Here is a 14,900-nt window from a genome sequence, read left to right on the forward strand (position 1 = left end):
ATCCCAGGCACTCAGCAGGCTGAGGCAGGAGAATCAGGCAGGGAGGTTGCAGCGAGCCCAGATCACGGCAGTACTGTCCAGCCTCGGCAACAGAGGGAGACCGTGGAAAGTGAGAGGGGAAAGGGAGAGAGGGAGGGAGAGGGAGAGGCAGAGGCAGAGGGAGAGGGAGAGGGAAAGGGAGAGGGAGAGAGAGAGGGAGAGGGAGAGCTTTTTTTTGTTTTTTGAGATGGAGTTTCGCTCTTGTTGCCCACACTGAAGTGCAATGATGCGATCTCAGCTCACCACAACCTCTGCCTCCTGGGTTCAAGTGACTCTCCTGCCTCAGCCTCCTAATCCAAAATTATCAGGGCACGGTGGCCCATGCCTGTAATCCCAGCTACTCAGGGGGTAGTATCGCAGGAGAATCGCTTCAACCCTAAAGGCAGAGATACTCATTAGCCAAGATTGTGCCATTGCACTCCAGCCTGGGCAACAAGAGCAAAACTCCACTGCAAAATAATAATAATAATAATTAGTATGTAGGCCAGGTGCGGTGGCTCATCCCTATAATCCCAGTACATTGCAAGGCCAAGACAGGAGGAACCTTTGAGCCCAGGATTTTCAGTCCAGCCTGGGAAACATACTGAAACCGTTTCTACAAAAAAAATAAAATAAAATAAAAAATAAATAAATAACTAGCCGGGCTTGGTGTCTCACACCTGTGGTCTCAGCTACTCAGGAGACTGAGGGAGGAGGATCACTTGAGCCTAAGAGGTCGAGGCTGCAGTTAGAGTAGATAACGCCATTGTACTCCAGCCTGGGCAATAGGGCCAGACCCTGTCTCAAAATATTAATTAATTAATTAATTAATTAAAAGTATTATGTAATAACAGAAAGTTGTTTTTTTCTTTTTCCCCACATCACTGCCCCACTTTCTACCCCACCCTGGGAAAAGGGAAGAAACTGACTCACAACTGAGTAAGTCACTGCCCTCGGGCTGAATAGGGATTCCAAGTGGAAGCTAACCTCTGACACCAAGATTTATAGAATGTACATGACTCACATAGGAATTTTAAAATTCTCAAACTCATCTGTATAATTTAAACAAGTTATTAGATTATATACACAGAAGTCAACATGTCACAACTAATCATATCCAATGAACTCACACACTCATCTGTATCCAAAGTCCCCCACCCTTTTTTTCTTTTAAAACAGGGTCTTGCTCTTTTCACCAGGCTGGAGTACAGTGGCATGATCTCTGCTCACAGCAGCCTGGACCTCCTGGGCTCAAGTGATCCTCCAGCCTCTGCCTACAGAGTAGCTGAAATTACAGGTGCACATTATCATGCCTGGTTTTTGTTTTCGTTTTTTTTTTTTTTTTTTTGATAGAGATGGGGGCAATGACTATTTTGCCCAGGCTGGTCTTGAACTCCTGGATTCAAGCAATCTCTCTGTCCCAGTCTCCTAAAGTGCTGGGATTACAGGCATGAGCCACTGCGCCTGGCCCCTCTTTCTTCATTACTGTGCTTCCCTCCCTAATTCTGTGCATATCTCTCATTCTCCCCTTCTCTTTCTAGCTCTTGTTTTCTTTTCTTTTTCCCTGGGATTGTGCTCCTTATTTTGTACCTCTCTCCTCTCCTGCAATTTATCCCCTTCTTCCCTCTATTGCTTCTCTTCCACCTCTTCTGCTCCATCCTCACAACTTATTTAACCTTTTTTTTTTTTTTTTTTTTGAGACGGAGTTTCCATCTTGTTGCCCAGGCTGGAGTGCAATGGTGCGATCTTGGCTCACTGCAACCTCCGCCTCCCAGGTTCAAGCAATTCTCCTTCCTCAGACTTCCTAGTAGCTGGCATTACAGGCATGTGCAACCGTGCCTGCCTTATTTTGTATTTTTAGTAGAGACGGGGTTTCTCCATGTTGGTCAGGCTGCTCTCAAACTCTGGACCTCAGGTGATCCGCCCACCTCAGCCTCCCAAAGTGCTGGGATTATAGGCATGAGCCACAGCGTCTGGTCCTTATTGAAGGGGGCCAGCCCCTCCACACCTGTGAGTATTTCTCATCAGGTGAGATGAGAGACTGAGAAAAGAAATAAGACAGAGACAACGTATAGAGAAAGAACAGTGGGCTCAGAGGACCAGCACTCAGCATACGGAGGATCCGCACCAGCCGAGGTCTCTGAGTTCCCTCAATATTTATTGATCACTATCTCTACCATCTCAGAGAGGGGGATGTGGAAGGACTGTAGGGTAATGGTGGGGAGAAGGTCAGCAGGAAATCATGTAAGCAAAGCTCTCTGTGTCATAAATAAGTTTAAGGAAAGATGCTGTACCTCGATGTGCATGTAGGGTAGATTTATGTTTGACTTTACACAAACATCTCAGTGCAGTAAACAGCAGTATTGCCACCAGCATGTCTCACCTACAGCCATAAGGCAGTTTTCTCCTATCTCTGTAAACAGAACATACGATTGGGTTTTACACCAAGATATTCCATTCCCAGGGAGGAGCAGGAGACAGAGGCCTTCCTCTTATCTCAACTGCAAAGAGGGCTATCTCTTTCACTAACCGTCCTCAGCACAGACCCTTTACGGGTGTCTGGCTGGGGGATGGTCAGGTCTTTCCCTTCCCACGAGGCCATATCTCAGGCTGTCTCAGTGGAGAGAAACCTTGGACAATACCCAGGCTTTCTTGGGCAGAGGTCCCTGCGGCCTTCCACAGTGTATTCTGTCCCAGGGTACTCGAGACTGGAGAATGGCGATGACTTTTACCAAGCATACTGCCTGCAAACACATTTTAACAAAGCACAGCCTGCACAGCCCTAAATCCATTAAACCTTGGGTCAACACAGCACATGTTTCTGTGAGCACAGGGTTGCGGCTAGGGTTACAGATTAACAGCATCTCAAAGCAGACTAATTTCTCTTAGTACAGACCAAAATGGGGTTTCTTATGTCTACTTCTTTCTACATAGACACAGTAACAGTCTGATCTCTCTTTTTTTTCCCCAAACCTTATTTAACCTCTTGTTGCTCCTTCTCCCCAATCTTTCAATCGTCCTCAATCTCTATATATTACCGCCTCTTCTCTTATCTCTCCATCTCCTCTGCTCTCCCTGTTAAATTCTCTCTTCCCTGTTACAGCCCCCAGTCCCCACTCTCTAGCACCCCAGATCCCCAGGTGTCCTCCCTGCTGTGGTTCTCCCTCTGGTCTCCGTGCCACCAGCACCACTCTGCTCTGTCTGCCCTGGCTCCAAATCCCTCCTCCTCTCCCTCACTCTGGTGAGCCTCCCTCTTTGCTGCCCCTCTCCCTATCTTGTCCTTCATCTCTGTACATCTAGCTCTTCTCTACATTTCTCCAGTTGCTTTTCTCCTCCTGCTTTCTTATTTTTTCTTTCACTTTTGCTGTCTCTTGGCAAATTTCTCACCCATCCTCTACTTTGCCATCTGTTACGGGCCTTTCTCATTCTTCTTTTCTCTGTCTCTGGTTTTCTACTGCTCTCTCAGTCCCTCTCTCTATCTCCTCATCTCTTTGACCCAAACAATCACACGCGGGTTTGGAGTAAGAGGCCTACATCCTGGAGAAGCGCATTTTCCAGGAGGTGGAGCTGGGCAGGCAAGAACACCCGGTGTCATAGGACAAGGCCCTGGGACCTCCCCAACGCTGGCTCAGGGGAAGCGGTGACTGCGGAGGGAAGACTTGGGGAGCAGCAGGGCCCGGCACGAGGAGGGACATAGTGGGAGACGGCGCCTTAAGACATGGGTGGCACCTGCAGGCTCCCAGGACCAGGCAGAGGACCCAGCCTCCCCAGGACTGGGGCCCCGGCGCTGCGCTCCAGGGGAGGCCGACGGGGGCTGGGAGGCGCCCAGGGCGGGAATCCAGCGCACGGGTGAGGACTTTAAAAAGCAAGGGGCAGGATGAGTCAACAAGGTTTTGAGCAGGAAAACTATGCGATAGGAAGTGTATACATTGCCCTATAGCAGAAAGACCGGGGACGGGACCAGCCTCCAAGCGACTTCAAACCCAAAAGGAAGCAACTTCCAGACTCTTATGGGCGTCTCAATTTGCTCTGGGTGAAGGAAGACAGGCAAGAATTTCCAGGTCTGTGAGGACCCCACGTCCCAGGGACAGAAGTGCCAGGGACCTGGGAAGTGCAGACTTAATACAAGGCAGAGCAAAACTCACGCGCCTCGGTAGGACCTTTACTCCACGTGATCCACTTCCGGGTTTGCTGCGCAGGACAGAAGCCAGTCCCGGGTGGGGCCCCCGAACATGGTGGCGGGGCCTGGGTGGGACAGAGGCGGGGCGCGAGGCGGAGAGACCTTGCCCTTTAGAACAGGCAAAGGGCGGGGCCGGGACCGGACCTGTGCATCTCTCCGCCTCGCACCCAGCGCCTCTGTTTTTCGGGTGTTTGGAGGTGAGAGCGGCCAGGAAGGCTGAGGCATGATACAAAAGCCCTGGAATTATCTGGAACGGGAATGCAAACTAGAATGTGAAATGCAAAGCCCTGCCTGGGCGGAACATACGATTTCATGCTGATGGCCCACAGAACAGAACAGAACTCCTCTCCCTTTCTATTCTCCATTCACTCAGGAGGGAGAGTCCACCCTGTGCTCAGCTTCAGAGACTTCCCTAGAGCCTTTGCTTGGGATGCGGGACTGGGTGCTCAGGCCAGGGAGGAGTGAGGTCACCACCTGCTGCCTAAACGCAGCAGGGATGCGGGCGTGAGGCCGGAAGCCTGAGGTCCCAGCTACTCAGGAAGCAGCGGCGGGAGAATCGCTGAACCTGGGGGTCCAGGCCAGCCTGGGCGACAAAGTAACACCCCCTCCCGCAGTGCTCTCTTCATTGTCTCTCTCGCGCGCTCTTTTTCTTTTCTTTCCTTTTTATTTATTTTTATTTTTTGAGACGGAGTCTTGCTCTGTCACCCAGGCTGGAGTGCAGTGGCATGATTTTGGCTCACTGCAAGCTCCACCTCCCGGGTTCACGCCATTCTCCTGCCTGAGAGTTGAGTAACTGGGACTACAGGTGCCCGCCACGATGCCCGGCTACTTTTTTGTATTTTTAGTAGAGAAGGGGTTTCACTGTGTTAGCCAGGATGGTCTCGATCTCCTGACCCCGTGATCCACCTGCCTCAGCCTCGCAAAGTGCTGGGATTACAGGTGTGAGCCACCATGCTCGGCCTTGTGTTTTTTTTTTTTTTTTTCTTTTTAAACAAAATTTTTCATGGTGTGACACAGGGATCCAACATTATTCTTTTCAATGTGGATATCCAGTTAGTTGTCCCGCACGTTTGTGAAAGAGATCAATTACTTTCTCTTTTTTTACTTTTTTCTTTCCTTTTACTTTTGAGACAGAGTATTTCTCTGTGGCCCGTGCTGGGGTGCAGTTGTGAGATCATGGCCCACTGCAGCCTCTGCCTCCTGGGTTGAAGCTATTCGTCTGCCTCAGCCTTTGGAGTAGCTGGTATTACAAGCGCACATGACCATGCCCAGCTAACTTTTGTATTTTTGGTAGAGATGGGGTTTCACCATGTTGGCCAGGCTGGTCTAGAACTCCTGACTTCAAGTGATCCGCCTGCCTTGGCCTCCCAAAGTGCTGGGATTACACTCGTGAGTCACTGTGCCTGGCCCAGGAAATATTCTTTACTTCACTTTTTAAATGTGAGAAAATATAATTGAGAAACAAAGAGTCTTGCCCCAAATGAGAAATCATCTCCACGATGATAATAGAGAAAGAAAGAATAACTATTTTATTAATAAATAAGCTTTAGACCAGAATGTGATGGGAAATAAAGGCAAACAGCTAAGAGGTTGAAAAGAGAGAAAGAAACGTCACTGTTACTATACAACCCATTTAGTACATGTTTTCAAGATAAACACTAATCAGTCCTCAGGGAAGAGGACTTGAAAAGCCCTTGGTCACACATAGTTCATCCTGGCTCTACTTGGTAATGGAGGTGACCATCTCTGTCAGCTAACTAGCTTCATCCCGAGGCAGGGGGAGAAACCCTAACACTAACCCTAACACAAAAATTAGCTGGACGTGGTGGCAGGCGCCTGTAATTTTTCTGTATTTTTAGTAGAGACAGAGTTTCACCAAGCTGGCCAGGCTGGTTTCGAACTCCTGACCTCAAGTGATCTGCCCACCTTGGCATATCAATGTATTGGGATTACAGGCTTGAGCCACCAGGGTCAGCCAGGAAAAACTCTTAGAAGTTGCACCTGCATTCCGCTAGACTCTGCTTGCATGACCACATTCCTCTCAAGGCTCAGAATTATTTACAGGTCCATAGCTTTAAATTTGAATCATTTGATGTTTGAATTATTTAATTTCCTACTGAGACACAGGTACTATCTATCTTGTTGTGTGCCTTTTTTTTTTTTTTTTTTTTGAGACGGAGTCTCGCTTTGTTGCCCAGGCTGCAGTGCAGTGGTGCAATCTCAGCTCACTGCAACCTCTGCCTCCCAGGTTCAAGCAATTCTGCCTCAGCCTCCTGAGTAGCTGGGACTACAAGCATGTGCCACCACACCCGGCTAATTTTTTTGAATTTTTAGTAGAGACAGGTTTTCACCATGTTGGTCAGGTGGTCTTGAACTCCTGACCTCGGGATTGGCCAGGCTTGGCCTCCCAAAGTGGTGGGATTACAGGCGTGAGCCACTGCACCTGGCCGTTGTTTGCCTGTCAAAGTGAGCTCCCAAGTTCTTCAGAAATACATCCCTGGGCCGGGCGTGGTGGGTCACGCCTGTAATCCCAGGACTCTGGAAGGCCGAGGCTGGAGGATCATCTGAAATCAGAAGTTCAAGACCAGCCTGGCCAACATGGTGAAACCCCATCTCTACAAAACTATAAAAATCAGCCAGGCATTACAGCGGGTGCCTGTAGTCCCAGCTACTTGGGAGGCTGAGGCAGGAGAATCACATGTACCCGAGAGACAGAAATTGCAGTGAGCCGAGATCGCACCATTTAACTCCAGCCTGGGCAACAAGAGTGAAACTCCATGTCCGAGAAAGAAAAGAAAAGAGAAAGAAAGAATACTACCCTCAGAAAACAGAAAATGCATTTGCAAATTTTCTAAATAAATCTCCTAAGAAAAGAAATGAAAGGAAAGAAAATCTCTTTCTTTATTTTCAAAGGAGGAATTAAACCTCTCATTTACTTCCTTGTCTGTTTGAGATAGGGTGTAGCTCACTCACCCAAGCTGGAGTGTGGTGGCAAAAACAGGGCTCACTGCAGCCTTCAACTCCCTGGCTCAAGTGATCCTCCCACCTTTTTCATCAAGCATTTGGAAGAGATATCTACAAAATATAAACACCAATACGTTTCCAATTAAGTCCAGACGGTAAATCATACTGAAATGTGTAAATATGACACAATAAACAATACTTACTTTAAACTTCCCAAACATAATCTTCAAAGTTTAGGAACATAAAAGGAGTAAGATTCTTTAATAAATAAAGGGAGATTACATGTCCTTCAAATCATTTCTATGGAAGCCTATTTCCAATACCATGACAAAACACTGACAGGGCACCAACATGTGTAAGCCTAAAGTAAGGACTGTTTTTCCACTGTGACCCTAAAGTGCATCACAGTTTGCAAAAAACATATCACTGTCACATTAATGAAAAGTATATATTCTTCATATTTACAGAATATCTTCTGTATACAAATAAATGCTAAAGGACCACAAAATATACTATACTGGTAAATAATCCACAACAAGCTCATGTAAGGGTAACCAAAATCAATGGAAATGCTGTATTGTCAAATAATCATAGCACAAAGAAGATAAGAAAAGATTACAAAATTAGCCAGGCATGGTGGCTTGCGCCTGCAGTCCCAGCTACTCAGGAGACTGAGGCACAAGGATCGCTTGAACCTGGGAGGGAAAGGTTGCAGGGAGCCAAGATTGCGCCACTGCATTCCAGCCTGGGTGACAGAGCGAGACTCCATCTCAAAAAAAAAAAAAAAAAAAAAAAAAAGAAAAGAAAGAAAAAGAAAACAATGTTAATACAATATTTTTCTGAATACCTGTCATAAAATTACCTATAACCACACAGAACAGGCACTTATTGAAATTAACAAGTGCAGTGTATCAGTTATATTACATATCACATACTGAAAAGCCATATGTGAAATCTTAAATATTAGTCAGTAAACTATTGTAACCCATGATAAAACCAGCAAGCAAATAAGTACATTTATATAGGCTGCAGAATTCTAAACAATTCCCTCTTAAGAAAAAAGCCACAACTTTTGCTTATCACCAGCACACAATATAAGAATTGAAATACGTGTTAAGATCACTATCTTCTGATGTATGAGTTCAAGTAAATACACAGCATTATAAGGAATAAGAACTGACTAACCATGTCGGAGGGTGCAATTATGATGTCACAGGTACAGCTGCATATCACCAGGCAATACAGCAATTTTGTATATATGCATTGTCCTTCGTTATCTAGTCAACTGTGCAAAAAATATAGAAAGTGTACTGGGAAAATTTATCAACTGAGATCACAGAAAACATTGTATAAAACAAATTGCACAATAAAACCATAAAAAACATGATGTAGGCCGGGCGCGGTGGCTCAAGCCTGTAATCCCAGCACTTTGGGATTCCGAGGCGGGCGGATGACGAGGTCAGGAGATCGAGACCATCCTGGCTAACATGGTGAAACCCCATCTCTACTAAAAATACAAAAATTAGCCGGGCATAGTGGCGGGTGCCTGTAGTCTCAGCTACTCGGGAGGCTGAGGCAGGAGAATGGCATGAACCCGGGAGGTGGAGGTTGCAGTGAGCCGAGATTGCATCACTGCACTCCAGCCTGGGCGACAGAGCCAGACTCCGTCTCAAAAAAAAAAAAAAAAAAAAAAAAAAAAAAAAACATGATGTAGGCTCCTTGGTCTGAAAGATTATATTGGCCAAAAGCGATGTTCAGAGTTGTGTCCAATAGGATGTTCCTGCAGATGGGGCCTGTGAGAGAATTTGGTCATGGGTGTTGACTACACATGAATAGGTCTAGTGCTTTTATTTTTATTATTTATTTATTTGTTTACTTTTTGAGACGGAGTTTCCCTCTTGTTGCCCAGGCTGGAGTGCAATGTCACGATCTTGGCTCACCGCAAACTTTGCCTCCTGGGTTCAAGCAATTCTCCTGCCTCAGCCTCCTGAGTAGCTGGGATTACAGGCATGCACCATCACACCCAGCTAATTTTGTATTTTTAGTAGAGACGGGGTTTCTCTATTTTGGTCAGGCTGGTCTCGAACCACCTACCTCAGGTGATTCACCCGCATCAGCCTTCCAAAGTGCTGGGATTACAAGTGTGAGCCCCCGCACACAGCCAAGACTACTGCTTTTATAAAGAGAGACATTAAAGAGCTGATTGTTATTTCTTTTTGTTTGTTTGTTTTTTGAGACCAAGTCACGCTCTATCACTCAGGCTGGAGTGTAGTGGCATGATTCTCCTGCCTCAGCCTCCCAAGTAGATGGGACTACAGATGCATGCCACCACCCCTGGCTATTTTTTTTTGGGGGTGGGGGAGACAGAGTCTCACTCTGTCACCCAGGCTGGAGTGCCGTGGTGCGATCGTGGCTCACTGCAACCTCTGCCTCCCAGCTGGGTCCAAATAATTCTCCTGCCTCAGCCTCCAGAGTAGCTGAAATTAGAGGCGTGTGCCACCACGCTCAGCTAATTTTTGTATTTTTGGTAGATACAGGGTTTCATCATGTAGGCCAGGCTGGTCTCAAACTCCTGACCTTAAGTGATTTGCTCCCAAAGTGCTAGGATTACAGGCATGAGCCACCACGCCTGGCTTTGATGTTCCTTTCTTTTTCTTTATTTTTTTTTCAGACGGACTCTAGCTCTGTTGCCCAGGCTGGCATGCAGTGGCGCAATCTCGGCTCACTGCAACGTCTGCCTCCCGGGTTCAAACAAACCTCTGCCTCCTGAGTAGGTGGGATTACAGGAGTCTGCCATCACTACCGGCTAATTTTTGTATTTTTTTTTTTGTAGAGATGGGGTTTCACTCTGTTGGCCAGGCTGGTATCGAACTCCTGACCTCGTGATCCACCCACCTTGGCTTCCCAAAGTGCTGGGATTACAGGCTTGAGCCACCGTGCCCTGATGTCCCTTTTGAAAACTACTATGGGCTAGGCGTGGTGGCTTACGCCCGTAATCCCAGCACTTTGGGAGGCCGAGGCAGGTGGATCACCTCAGGTCGGGAGTTAGAGACCAGCCTGGATCAACATGAAGAAACCCTGTCTCTACTAAAAACACAAAATTAGCCGAGCGTGGTGGTGCATGCCTGTAATCCCAGCTATTCAGGAGGCTGAGGCAGTAGAATCGCTTGATGCTAGGAAGCCAAGGTTGTGGTGAGCTGAGATCATGCCATCGCACTCCAGCCTTGGCAACAAGAGCAAAATTCCCTCTCAAAAAAAGAAAAAAAAATGGCCGGGCGGGTGGCTCACGCCTGTAATCCCAGCACTTTGGGAGGCTGAGGCGGGCGGATCACGAGGTCAGGAGATTGAGACCATCCTGGCTAACACGGTGAAATCCTGTCTCTACTAATAATACAAAAAATTAGCTGGTAGTGGTGACAGGAGCCTGTACTCCCAGCTACTCCGGAGGCTGAGGCAGGAGAATGGCGTGAACCCGGGAGGCGGAGCTTGCAGTGAGCTGAGATCGTGCCACTGCACTCCAGCCTGGGTGACAGAGCAAAACTCCATCTCAAAAAAGAAAAAAGAAAACAGAATAACTCACAGTATTGAGTTATTCTGAATAACTCACAGTATTGAGTTATTCTGAATAACTCACAGTATTGAGTTATTCTGAATAACTCACAGTATTGAGTTATTCTGAATAACTCACAGTATTGAGTTATTCTGAATAACTCACAGTATTGAGTTATTCAGAATAACTCACAGTATTGAGTTATTCAGAATAACTCACAGTATTGAGTTATTCAGAATAACTCACAGTATTGAGTTATTCAGAATAACTCACAGTATTGAGTTATTCAGAATAACTCACAGTATTGAGTTATTCTGAATAACTCACAGTATTGAGTTATTGAGTTATTCAGAATAACTCAATGTATTGAGGGCTAAGTAGGCCAGACACGGTGGCTCCTCCCTGTAATCCCACCCGTAATCCCAGTAATTTGGGAGGCCAAGGCAGGAGGATCCTTTGAGCCCAGGATTTTGAGACCAGCCTAGGAAACATAGTGAAACTCCGTTTCTACAAAAAAAAAAAAAAATACAAAAACTAGCCGGGCTTGGTGGCTCATGCCTCTGGTCTCAGCTACTCAGAAGGCTGAGGAAGGAGGATGGCTTGAACTTAAGAGGTCGAGGCTGCAGTTAGAGGAGATCACGCCACTGCACACCAGCCTGGGTGATAGAGTCAGACCCTGTCTCAAAATATTAATTAATTAATTAATTAAATGTATTTTGTAACAACAGACAGTGACTATTTTCCCACTTCACTGACCCACGTCCTACCCCATCCTAGGAAAAGGGGAGACAGTGATTCACAACTGAATAAGTGACTGCCCTCTGGCAAATAGGGATTCCAAGTGGAACATAACCTCTGATGCCAAGATTTATAGAATGTACATGTCTTATAGATACGAATTTTAAAATTCTCAATCTCATCTGTGTAATTTAAACAAGTTTTTAGTTATTAGATTATATATACAGAACTCAACATGTCACAACCAATCATATCCAATGAACTCACCCACTCATCTGAACCCAGTCTCTCGCCCCTTTTTTTTTGTTTGGAGACAAGGTCTCGCTCTGACGACCAGGCTGCAGTGTAGTCACATGATCTCAGCTCACTGCAGCCTGGACCTCCTGGGCTCAAGTCATCCTCCCAGCTTGGCCACCAGAGCAGCTGGGAGTACAGGTGCACACCATTATGCCCGGTTATTTACTTACTTTTTTGGCGGGGGGGAGGTCTCACTATGTTGCCCAAGCTGGTCTCGAACTCCTGGACTCAAGCAATCCCCTTGCCTCAGTCTCCTAAAGTGTGGAGACTACAGACTACAGGCGTGAGCCACTGTGTCCAGACCCTCTTTCTTCATTACTGTGCTTCCCTCCCTAATTCTGTACATATCTCTCATTCTCCCCTTCTCTCTCTAGCTCTTGTTTTCTTTTCTTTTTCCCTGGGATTCTGCTCTTCATTTTGTACCCCTCTCCTCTCCTGCTATTCATCCCCTTCTTCCCTTTATTCCTTCTCTTCCACCTCTTCTCCTCCATCCTCACAACTTATTTAACCTCTTATTGCTCCTTCTCCCCAATCTTTCAATCGTCCTCAATCTCCATCTATTTCTGCCTCTTCTCCCATCTCTGCGCCTCCTCTGCTCTCCCTGTTAAATTCCATCTTCCCCGATATACTCCCTTGTCCCCACTCTGTGTCTCCCCAGATCCCAGCTGTCCTCTCTGCTGTGGTTCTCCCTCTGTTCTCCTTGACACAAGCACCACTCTGCTCTGTCTGCCCTGGCTCCAAATCCTTCCCTCTCTCCCTCACTCTGATGAGTCTCCCTCTTTGCTGCCACTCCCCCTACCTTGTGATCCTTCATCTCTCTGTACATCTATCTAGCCTTTCTCTACATTTCTCCGGTTGCTTTTCTCCTCCTGCTTTCTTAGGTTTTTTTTTTTTTTTTTCACTTCTGCCATCTCTTGGCATATCCCTCACCAATCCTCTATTTTGCCATCTGTTATGGGCCTTTCTTATTCTTCTTTTCTCTGCCTCAGGTTTTCTACTGCTCTCTGTCTCCTGATTCCTTTGGCCCACACAATCGCAACACGGTTTGGAGTAAGACGCCTGCATCCCGGAGGAGCGCATTTTCCACGCCCTGGAGCTCCGCAGGCAAGAATACCCCGTGCCGCAGGACAGGCCCCTGGGACCTCCCCAGTGCAGGTTCAATGAAAGCGGTGACTGCGGAGGGGAGACCTGGGGAGCAGCAGGCCCCGGCATGAGGAGGAAGGTGCGGGGCGGGGGGGGGGGGCGCGACGGCGCCTTAGGACCAGGATGGGGTCTGCAGGATCCCAGGACCTGGCAGAGGACTCGGCCTCCCCGGGACTGGGGCTGCGGCGCGGCGCTCCCGGGGCTGAGGAGGGGGAGGCTGGGAGGCGCCCTGGGCAAGAATCCACATCGCGGGTGAAGACTTTAAAAAGCGCGGGGCGCGAGGAGTCAGAACAAGGTTTTCAGCAGGAAAACTACGCAACAGAAAGTGTATACATTGACCTATAGCAGAAAGACCGGGGACGAGACCAGCCTCAGGACGACTTTAAACCCAAAAGGAAGCGACCCTCGGGCTCTCACGGGGATGTCTCAATTTGCTCTGGGCAAAGGAAGACGCCGGAGAATTTCCAGGTCTGTGGGGACCCCACGTCCCAGGGACAGAAGCCCTGGGAACCTAGTTAGCGCAGACTTAATACAACACAGAGCAAAACTCACCGCGGCGATATGACCTACACTCCACCCGATCCGCTTCCGGGTTTGCGTTAATCTGCGCGCGCAGGACAAAAGCCAGGCCTGGGCGGGAAGTGGGAGGTAGGCGGGGCCTGGGCGAGGTAGGGGCGGGGCGCGAGGCGGAGAGACCTTGCCTTTTAGAACCGGCAGAGGGCAGGGCCGGGGCGGGATCTGCGCGTCTCTCAGCCTCGCTCCCAGCGTCTCTGTTTTCAGGTTTTGGAGGCGAGAGCGCCAGAAAGTCTGAGGCATGATACAAAAGCCCTGTTGAGAGAAGAGAGAGACCCTCTGACATTGTTTTATATTGTTTTATAGTCAGTAAAAACAACAGGAAGTAAAACCAAAGACAGGCAGCCCCGCGCCAGGCCCGAAACCAGGCCTGGATCCGCCTGGCCTAAACCCAGTAGTTAAAAATCAACTTATGATTTAGAAGCTGATGTTAGGCATAGATTCCAGACATTGTATAGAAGAACACGGTGAAACTCCTGCCCTGTTCTCTCTCTCCCTGATCACCGGTGCATGCAGCCCCTGTCACGTATCCCTTGCTTGCTCAATCAGTCACTATCCTTTCATCTGAAATCTTTAGTGTTGTGAGCCCTTAAAAGGGACAGAAATTGTGCACTCGGGGAGCTTGGATTTTAAGGCAGTAGCTTGCCAATGCTCCCAGCTGAATAAAGCCCTTCCTTCTACAACTCGGTGTCTGAGAGGTTTTGTCTGCGACTCGTCCTGCTACACTGTAATTGTCTGGAACAGGGATACAAACTAGAATGTGAAATGCAAAGCCCTGCCTGGGCGGTATGTACCATGTCATGCTGAGGTCCCACAGAACAGATAGATATCCTCTCCCTTTCTATTGTCCATTCACTCCGGAAGGAGACTCCGCCCTGTGCTCAGCTTCAGAGACTTCCCTGAAGCCACCGCCTGGAATGCCGGACGGAGTGCTCAGGCCGAGAAGGAGTGAGGTCACCACCTGCTGCTTAAAGACAGCAGAGGCGCGGGGGCGGGAGCCTGAGGTCCCAGCTACTCAGGAAGCAGCGGCGGGAGGATCCCTGAGCCTCGGGTTCCAAGCCAGCCTGAGCGACAAAATAACGCCCACTGCCGCGGTCTCCCTTTCTTGTCTCTCTCTCTCTCTTTTTTTTTAAAAAAAACTTTCGCAAATAAAATTTTTGATTGTGTGACATAGGGATCCAACATTATTCTTTTCCATGTGGATATCCAGATAGTTGTCCTAGCACATTTATGGAAGAGATCTATTACTTTCTTGTATTATTATTATTATTATTATTATTATTATTATTATTTTTGAGACAGAGTATTTCTCTGTTGCCCAGGCTGGAGTGCAGTGGCGAGATCTCGACTAAATGCATCCTCTGCCTCCTGGGTTCAAGCGATTCTCCTGCCCCAGCCTTGGGAACAGCTGGCATTACAGGCGTGCGCCACCATGCC

At 47.8% G+C, this 14,900-nt stretch overlaps 1 protein-coding gene and 1 long non-coding RNA gene across 5 annotated transcripts in view, besides 3 other annotated features; one reads left to right on the forward strand and one right to left on the reverse strand.

Moving 5' to 3' along the window:
• The window catches only part of ZNF611 (zinc finger protein 611), a 32,232-nt gene extending 18,746 nt beyond the window's left edge, over positions 1 to 13,486 (reverse strand). For 2 of the 4 annotated variants that reach the window (NM_001161501.1, NM_001161499.2), the window contains exons 1-3: positions 13,443 to 13,486; positions 8,348 to 8,447; positions 7,172 to 7,273 (exon numbers count right to left, since the gene is read on the reverse strand). The gene's annotated coding sequence lies outside the window, so the exon portion shown is untranslated. Of the gene's footprint in view, positions 1 to 7,171; positions 7,274 to 7,365; positions 7,387 to 8,272; positions 8,325 to 8,347; positions 8,448 to 13,442 lie in introns of those variants that run through there. The other 2 variants (NM_030972.3, NM_001161500.2) reach the window with 2 other exon arrangements.
• LOC124904760 (uncharacterized) lies at positions 12,473 to 14,146 on the forward strand. The gene is made up of 2 exons (XR_007067328.1): positions 12,473 to 12,902; positions 13,236 to 14,146. It is a non-coding gene; the product is annotated as an uncharacterized LOC124904760 (long non-coding RNA).
• Positions 13,474 to 14,459: an enhancer, noted in NCBI's record as "NANOG-H3K27ac hESC enhancer chr19:53238285-53239270 (GRCh37/hg19 assembly coordinates)". NCBI's record gives its function as "activates a minimal SCP1, AML or CMV promoter by ChIP-STARR-seq in naive H9 embryonic stem cells {active_cell/tissue: H9 hESC(naive)}" and the evidence as "EXISTENCE:reporter gene assay evidence [ECO:0000049][PMID:30033119]".
• Positions 13,522 to 13,591: a silencer, noted in NCBI's record as "silent region_10998". NCBI's record gives its function as "represses an Ori minimal core promoter by ATAC-STARR-seq in GM12878 lymphoblastoid cells {active_cell/tissue: GM12878}" and the evidence as "EXISTENCE:reporter gene assay evidence [ECO:0000049][PMID:35858748]".
• Positions 13,772 to 13,901: an enhancer, noted in NCBI's record as "active region_15056". NCBI's record gives its function as "activates an Ori minimal core promoter by ATAC-STARR-seq in GM12878 lymphoblastoid cells {active_cell/tissue: GM12878}" and the evidence as "EXISTENCE:reporter gene assay evidence [ECO:0000049][PMID:35858748]".

Source organism: Homo sapiens, chromosome 19, assembly GCF_000001405.40.
Source record: "Homo sapiens chromosome 19, GRCh38.p14 Primary Assembly".
NCBI classification, from domain to species: Eukaryota; Metazoa; Chordata; class Mammalia; order Primates; family Hominidae; genus Homo; species Homo sapiens.